Raw genomic sequence first — 8,713 nt, 5'->3', positions numbered from 1 at the left:
GAAGAGATCATTTCTTGGTGTTGAATTTCAGGTAAGGATGCCAGCTTCTGCATATCAGGGTGGTGATGTTTGGGCTGCGACAGGTCTAGACAGCAGTCTGAAAGGGGGCTCAAGGAAGTAGCTGTGAAAGGCCCCTGGGATGTTTTCTGCTCCCCTTTCTGCAAATCCCCTGGAGGGAGATCCTGTTAGTCACTACGGGATGTGTGTGTGTGTGTGTGTGTGTGTGTGTGTGTGTGTGTGTGTGTGTTCATCACTTGTTGCTTGGGGTGGGAAGAGACAACAACAACCTACAGAATCCATAGTTCTCAGTTCATCTCCCATCCTAGTCCAATCATGGCCTAACATCCTTAGCTACCGATCGCAGAGGAGACTGCGCATTTGTGTTCATGTGGCCTTGGATGTTGGCAGATTCAGATTGGTGCCCCAGGCATCTGTGCTGTAACTGCAGTTTCAGCGGGCTCAGGACCAGGCTAAAGGGCCTCCAAGCTTCCTCCAGTTTCCTGGTGCATGCATGTGCAATATGCTCCCCTGGCCTGGGTCTTTCCTGCCGCTTCTTGCCAGTTGGGTCAGAACTAGCTTATTAACCAGTTTTTCTTCTGAGCTTTAATCGAACTGGCTCCAACCAGTTGGAGGCTTGAAAAGGGCTACGTGCTAGTTATAGATTTTTAAAGATATATTATTATTTTAGAGTAGTTTTGAGTGTACAGCAAAATGGAGTGCAGAGTCCAGAGATCTCATATGCCCTCAATTCCTGTATACTCTCGGGTCACTCCACCAACAACCTCCTACACCAGAGCCACTTTGAAACATTAGAAAATATATTTGAGCATTCAGAAATGTATAAACTAGGCAGCCCCAGACTGCAAGCAGCTCAGAGGTCCCACAGAGAGGCTTAGGGAGGGTGGGGGAAGAATTTTATATGGTGAATGTGGAAGAAAAAGAAAATACTTGATTGGGTAAAGTGGAGCAGTGGCCTCATTTGGAACATTACAGTGGAAGGTCTCTAGTTAGATGTTAGTTGGTGGTTTCTGATTGGTTCTTACATTTCCTTTTATTATTTACACTGAGTCAAGTTTTGGTTTATTTAAGGAGGAATTGAGTGCACGGCAGCCACCTCAGCCTCATGGCCACCTGTTTATTTGATTATTTTTAACAGAGAAGATCCTTTTAAAAATATCTGTTACCGTGGCTGGAGTGCAGTGACGTGATCACGGCTCACTGCAGCCACAACCTTCCAGCTCAGGTGATCCTCCCACCTCAGTGCTCCCCACCCTGAGTAGCTGGGACTACAGGCATGTGCCACCACACCACCATGCTAGGCTAATGGTTTGTATTTGTTTGAGAGATGCAGTTTCCCTAAGTTGCTTAGGCTTCTTTTGAACTCTTAGACTCAAATAATCTGCCTGCATTGGTCTCCCCAAGTGCTGGAATTACAGGCCATCTAAATCTTTTATCTCAGGTTTGCCTTGTGACAAAAGGTGGGGTACTTTTTCTGACATGATGAGGCAGAGAAAGGTGAGGTGGGTGCATCCTGTGCATATGATTTTCTCAGGTGATGGGAATATGGTGGGCTCTTGCCTAATGGGATATATTTTCTCTTTGAATGATTTGGCAAGATATCAGATGAGAGAAGTTGAATAAATGTTAGAAGAACATAGAAAAAATAGGTTATACACATTGGGTTTCTGAAGAAATGATGTCATTGGAGAAACAAAACTTTTATTGATTTCTGGAAACATTTAGGGCCAATTTTTTGTGTAAGTAATTTGAATTTATGATGATATCTCTGACCACTTTTTGATATTTTTTCTGGTTCAGGTGAGTGGTGTCATTGAGCAAACACAAAGTCGGGCTCATCCAAGGATGAGATTTTGCCAGAGAAAGGATGAGCAGCAAGTCAGGGAGCTTAAGGTAATTATGAGACAGTGACTATCTAAAATTGCTTAGGTAGAAGGAGACAGATTGGATTTTTGTGTGTTTGGTATTTGGGATAAGAGGGATGTGGGTGTGTACTTGAGATGTGTTGTTTATTTTCTCTCTCTTTTTTTTCTTTTTTTTTTTTTTGAGAGGGAGTCTCACTCTGTCACCCAGGCTGGAGTGCTGTGGCACAGTCTTGGCTCACTGCAACCTCTGCCTCCTGGGTTCAAGGGATTCTCCTGCCTCAGCCTCCCGAGTAGCTGGGATTACAGGCGCCTGCCACCACGCCCGGCTAATTTTTGTGATTTTTTTTTTTAGTGGAGACGAGATTTCACTATGTAGGCGAAGCTGGTCTCGAACTCCTGACCTCAGATGATCCACCCGCCTCAGCCTCCCAAAGTGCTGGGATTACAGGCGTGAGCCACTGCGCCTGGCCTGTTTATTCTCTTAAGAGAGAAAATGAGGGGATTAATGGACTGTAGTTCTGGACAAGGTGGAAAACTCTTAAAGTGGAAGTACTGGGGCAAGTGCTCTGACAGGGTAGGATGGTGCAGTCAGTCCCTTCACCCAGAAATCAGTAGAATGTTAGCAGTTCAGACTCAAACCTTGTGAAAAACAGGTGGTGGAAAGGAAATCCCTCACAGCAACTGGCACCATAATCAAGACAATGTTTACAGAATAAATGGAGTTACCTGCTTTCAGCCCCAGGTCGTAGCTATTGTCTGCCCTGCTGATATGTGATAATAATTTGTGATCCTGTTGTCTTAAAATGGGGTCACTCATCTCCAGTAGAATTAAGTCCACAGTGAAGTTGTCCCCCCATCCCCAAAGAGATAAACATATATGAATGAACTCACGTGATAACAACTACTGCTGCCTGGGATCATGAGAGACCTGAACTGAACTGATAGGATGTGAAAGGTGGCTGAGATAATGAGAATAGACCCATCTGCAGAGGATCATAAAACCAGCAAAGACAAGATCTTGTCTAAGATGCCTTCACAAGCTTTGTCCATGAGAACTCTTAAGGATTTCACCAGACCTGTTGGCTGCTGCTGTGATCTCTGCCCAAGAGGAGCCTCTGACCAACATCCAAAGGGCTTCTGGACCCACTGGACTCCTCTGGAGGTACCTTGGTCTCCCGATCCATGGCTGTGGTTTTTTACTCCCTTTATCACTGCCTGTGTGTAGAATGATAATTGCACAATTGATAGTGTGAAGACCTCTTGATAAATGGTAAATCTGAGCATATGTATTTGGCTGACATGTCATTGTGAAACCTCACAGCTTCAGTCAGTGTCTCTCCAAGGACTAAACAATGGAAGACTGTAGAAGATGCTATTCATTAAGATATCGCAAGAATATGGAAGACTATTATTCGCTTCTCATGGGACAGGACTTTTCAGGGCACCTGAAAAAACTCCCATGAAAAATCACTTTTACAAAATGTCAAGTTATGATATTCAAGATGAAACCAATGAGTCACAACATTCACATAATACACTGTACAACCCTGATCTCTTGACTGTCATCAAATGTTTCTTACCTCTAAACCAAAGTTTCATTTTATAATTTAATTTTTCTCATTTTTTCCATTCTCTTAGCTTAAGAAAAGATCATTACAAACTTTTTGTAAGTTTTTCATATATGCTTGCAAAGGGTTGTAAAACTTTATTGTGATTATTCTTGCTTTAAGCTGAAACATCCCTAATCTTTCTTTAGAGATTGTGGCATAGCATGTTAGTTTCTTTTCCATATCCAATTGTTTTCTGTAGTGAATACAGAAATACGGGCACTATTTTGTAACTTTAAATAGACATCATCTCAAGTCTACAAGAATTATCCAAAATGGTATTTAATGACATTTCTAGGTCTTCAGACACTATTAATGCAGATTGTAGCCTCTAGGTCCTGAAGATTTTACTAGATACTGGTTACTGAAACTGAGCTTTCTTGAATTCTTTTTCCTTCCACTGTGGTTTCCCGCATTTCAACATATCACCTATTTTTGTCCTCAAAGGTTACTTAAATTTTTTCCACAGAATTAAATTAAATATGAATCATCCCTCCTCTGATTTTTGAAATGACCCTTTGCTTCCTATGATAATGATTCTTCTGGTCCGTTTTGTAGTTATATGTTAGAGTTTGTAAATAGTCACACATTTTGCAACTGCATGTAATTTTCTTATTATTTTTTCCTCTTCCTCTAAAACTGCTGTTATTTCTTTTAACTTTTTGTGGGAAAAATTAAACCCATCTTTCACGTTGTTGATATACTTATTTATAATTGAACTCCTTGATTTTTGCTCGAATTGCTTTTCAAGTTACCCACTTTTAGGGAAGACATTATTTGGGTTTTGTTTAGTGTATCAGGCTTTTTTTAGTTAGTTGTATCAAGAAGTGTAGACTTTTCTATACATAATATCCTTTTTCCCACAGTATTTTTTTTTTTTTTTAAGTCTAGCCGGGTGCAGTGGCTCACGCCTGTAATCCCAGACTTTGGGAGGCCGAGATGGGCGGATCACGAAGTCAAGAGATGGAGACCATCCTGGCTAACACGTTGAAACCCCATCTTTACTAAAAATACAAAAAATTAGCTGGACATGGTAACGGGTGCCTGTAGTCCCAGCTAATCAGGAGGCTGAGGCAGGAGAATGGCATGAACCCAGGAGGCAGAGGTTGCAGTGAGCCGAGATCGTGCCACTGCACTCCAGCCTGGGTGACAGAGCAAGACTCCATCTCAAAAAAAAAAAAAACAAAAAAAAAAAAAAAAAAAAAACATTCTGTTAAAATAAAGGTCATCAAAAGATCTTTTCCTAAACCTTTCCTTTACCAGAAATAGCTCTAGTGTCACATGGTCCTTTCTCCCTTCTTGCTTTTGTAGGAATCCAAAGCTAATCTGTCCCTGATCCGGATTACACGCACCTGTGCCTTTTGGGGCCCTTCTGCATTAGTTCTTCCTTCTCTTCTAACCTCAAAAATGTGTTTTTTCTATTGGCTCTTTCCCTTTAACATAGAAGTATACTCACGCTTTTGTTGAATCTTGAAATAAAAGTCTTCCTTTACCACATATCTCCCTTTAATACTACATCTCTCTTCTCAGCCAAATACTTGGGAAGAGAAGCCCTGAGTTTGTGTCATTGTTTTCTCACCTCCAGTTCACTACTTTGCCTACTGCCTGACATCCAGCTCGCTCACACACACACACAAGCCCAATCACTAAGTTGCCATAGCTAATTTGTAGCTTTCCTGCCTTCCTGGCAAAATTTGACTCTGCATTGGGATAATACATGTCAAGTACCTATTGAACAGGCACTGTGCTAGGTGCTACTGTTATAGATATGAAAAGAAGGCATCATCTCCTTTCTAACAACTCACAGGAGCAGCCATTCCTGATTCATACATGTCTCTTGACTCCCAGTGCTCACTTTTTCAAGCTTCACTTAATGCCGTGCAAATCACCCTATTCTCCAGGTCTTCTTTCTTCCCAGTTCTCCTTACTATACACAACTTCTCAAGGCAGTCACCTCCACACCCATGGCTTCAATTGCTTTCTCCATTCTCTGAGAACAATAGAATTTTAAATGGTTTTATTTCATGTATTAGCTTTATTTTATACAAGGTGCCTCACCTGCTGTAACCATAGATTCAAAGTTGCTCCATGAAAGTAATAAATGAAAAATGGTGATTTTTTAGCATGTAAATTTTAGGAAATTTCCCCAGTTACGCTTAATGGCTTGATTTAGTGTGTATGTTATTTTTGAAAACATATGTTGGGATGTCACAAATGGACTTAGCCTACAGAGATTTATATTCAACTTTTGACCAGAGAGTTCCATTTTAATGTGACACTGAGAGTAAAAAACTATCTTTTCCTCCTTACCTATTTCTCTTCCTACATTCTCGGCCAGGAGGAAGGCACTGCTACATACCCAGTCTTCCCCAGCAGAGCCTGAGCAGCTCTGTTTTCCTTCTACTTCCCCTCTTCTTTCACATCTCATGACCAAGCACTTCCTATTCTGTCTCCCAAATGATCACAGATTTTTTCCTCCACTTTTGTCACTGCCACTGCCCTTAGCATTACTCTGCCTTTAGAGAAAGTCTCTTAATTGGTTTGGTTGCTTCCTTCAGTCTTTATTATACAGACCACTACACGCACATCTGACAGAGACTTTTCACCTTTTTATGGTTGAATGACTGAAATTCCCAGAATAAAATTAAAACCACCCCAGCATCAAATTTGAGGTCAAATAGAGGTGGGTTTGTATCCCAGGTTCATATACTGTCCAGCAGTATGGTCTCAGAAAACTGACCTCCTTAAGCCTTTGTTTGTGTATCTGCCTACACTCATTGAGAGTTGGGACTATTTCACACATACAGTGCCTGGCATGTAGAAGGGACTTAATGTTGAAAGAAGGGGAGGCATTTTAAAATCCACATCAAAAAAATGTTGTTCTGTTCGGGAGTGGTGGCTCACGCCTGCAATCCCAGCACTTTGGGAGGCCAAGGCAGGTGGATCACCTGAGGTCAGGAGTTCGAGATCAACCTGAGCAACATGGTGAAACCCCATCTCTACTAAAAATACAAACATTAGCTGAGCATGGGGGCGGGATCCTGTAATCCCAGCTACTTGGGAGGCTTAGGCACTTGAATGAGAATCACTTGGACCCAGGAGGTGGAGGTTGCAGTGAGCAATGATTGTGCCACTACCTGGGCAACAGAGTGAGACTCTGTCTCAAAAAAAAAAAATAAAAAGTAAAAAAAATTCTTTTAAAAATATACGAATCTGGCTGGGCACGATGGCTCATTCCTGTAGTCCTAGCACTTTGGGAGGCTGAGGCGGGCCTGACCAACATGGAGAAACCCCGTCTCTACTAAAAATACAAAATTAGCCGGGCATGGTGACGCATGCCTGCAATCCCAGCTACTCGGGAGGCTGAGTCAGGAGAATCGCTTGAGCCCGGGAGGCGGAGGTTGCAGTGAGCCAAGATCACGCCATTGCAGTCCAGCCTGGGCAACAAGAACGAAACTCCGTCTCAAAAAAAAAAAAAAAAAAATAGTGTTCAGCAAGGTTGAAGCATAAAAGGTTAATAGCCAGAATCATTTATCAATTGTATTTCTATACATCTACAAGACACAATCTGAAAATGAAATTAGAGAAACAATTTCACTGGGCAACAAGAGCAAAACTTCGTCTCAAAATAATAATAATAATAATAATAATAATAATAATCTACAATGTCATTTCCCATCCAAGCTTGACTTCTACCTTTACTTTCTGATATGGTTTTGCCATGTCCCCACCCAAATATCATCATGAATTATAATCCCCATAATCCCGATGTGTCGAGGGAGGGGCCTAGGGGGAGGTGATTGGATCACAGGGGCAGTTATCCTCATGCTGTTCTTGTGATATTCAGTAAGTCCTCATGAGATCTTATAGGGTTTTGTTTTGTTTTGTTTCCTGGGATAGAGGCTTGCTCTGTTGTCCAGGCAAGAGTGCCATGGCACGATCTTGGCTCACTGCAGTCTCTGCCTCTTGAGTTCCAGTGATTCTCCTGCCTCAGCCTCCTGAGTAGCTGGGATTACAGGCATGCACCACCACACCCAGCTAATTTTTGTATTTTTAGTAGAGACAGGATTTCACTACATTAGCTAGGCTGGTCTCAAACTCCTGACCTCAGTTGATCCACCTGCCTTGGCCTCCCAAAGTACTAGGGTTACAAGTGTGAGCCACCGTGCCCAGCTGAGATCTGATGGTTTTATACATGTTTGACAGTTGCTCCTTCACATGTTCCCACTCTCTGTGCGGCCACCATGTAAGTCGGACCTGCCCTTCTGCCATGATTGTAAGTTTCCTGAAGGACTTCCCCCTCTGCCATGATTGTAAGTTTCCTGAGGCCTCCCCAGCCATGTGAAACTGAGTCAATTAAGCCTCTTTCCTTTAAAAATTACCCAACCTCAGGTGTTTCTTTATATCAGTGTGAAAACAGACTGCTATACTTTCTGATAATCATGCTTAAGCAATTGGGGAATTCAGACTACCTGGGATCAAACTATGGCCCCACCCTTAGCAGTCATGTGACCTTGGGGGGGTTTACTTACCTTCTCTGTCCCAACAACTTCTGTAAAATCTGTAACATGAGATTGTTTCTGAGGGTTAAATGAGCATAGCACAGTGGGGACACTGTCAGGCACACACTACTTGCCAGATGTCGAGTATTCATCTTTATTGAAATAGGACTGTGGTAAGCCACTTTATGGCTCTCGATTTTGTATGAGAAAATCATGTTTAGTGCCTTGTTAGTAAAAGAAAGAAAATCTGAAAGTCCCTGCCATGGAAGGAAGAAATAGCGGGGAGAAAAGGGAGTTGGTAAGTTTCAGCATTTCAGAGCTTGGAGGGACAAGTTAGGTTTCTATTTTATGGAGAAGGAGGTGGAGGCAGGATGGGTCCTAAGGTGTCATTCAAAACACACAGCCATAACTCTTTATTGAGAGTAGAGCTAGGGCCCCAGGGATTGCTGTGATCAAGTTGCGGACAAAAATGACCACTCGTTGGAAGACAGGAGAGGAGTGTTTAGTTACAAAAGCAGTCAACAATTCAGGTGTATCTATATTCAGACAGCAAATAAAAGTTGTTCAACTTGGTTGCTAATGGGACCCACTCTACTGAGGCTTTATGTAGAACTCATAGAGGAAGCTGGCTTCGAGGAATGAACTACCCTGTGCTTTTCTTAGGACTAAAATCTCAGGAAGCTGGTGATGAATGAAAACCTTAGTCCCACTGGCACTGCAC

At 42.2% G+C, this 8,713-nt stretch overlaps 1 pseudogene; it reads right to left on the bottom strand.

Annotated features, from left to right (window-relative positions):
- Positions 285–400, bottom strand: RNA5SP315 (RNA, 5S ribosomal pseudogene 315; annotated as a pseudogene).

The sequence above is a fragment of the Homo sapiens genome, chromosome 10 (assembly GCF_000001405.40).
Source record: "Homo sapiens chromosome 10, GRCh38.p14 Primary Assembly".
NCBI lineage: Eukaryota > Metazoa > Chordata > Mammalia > Primates > Hominidae > Homo > Homo sapiens.
This window is presented reverse-complemented; position numbering and strand designations above follow the sequence as displayed.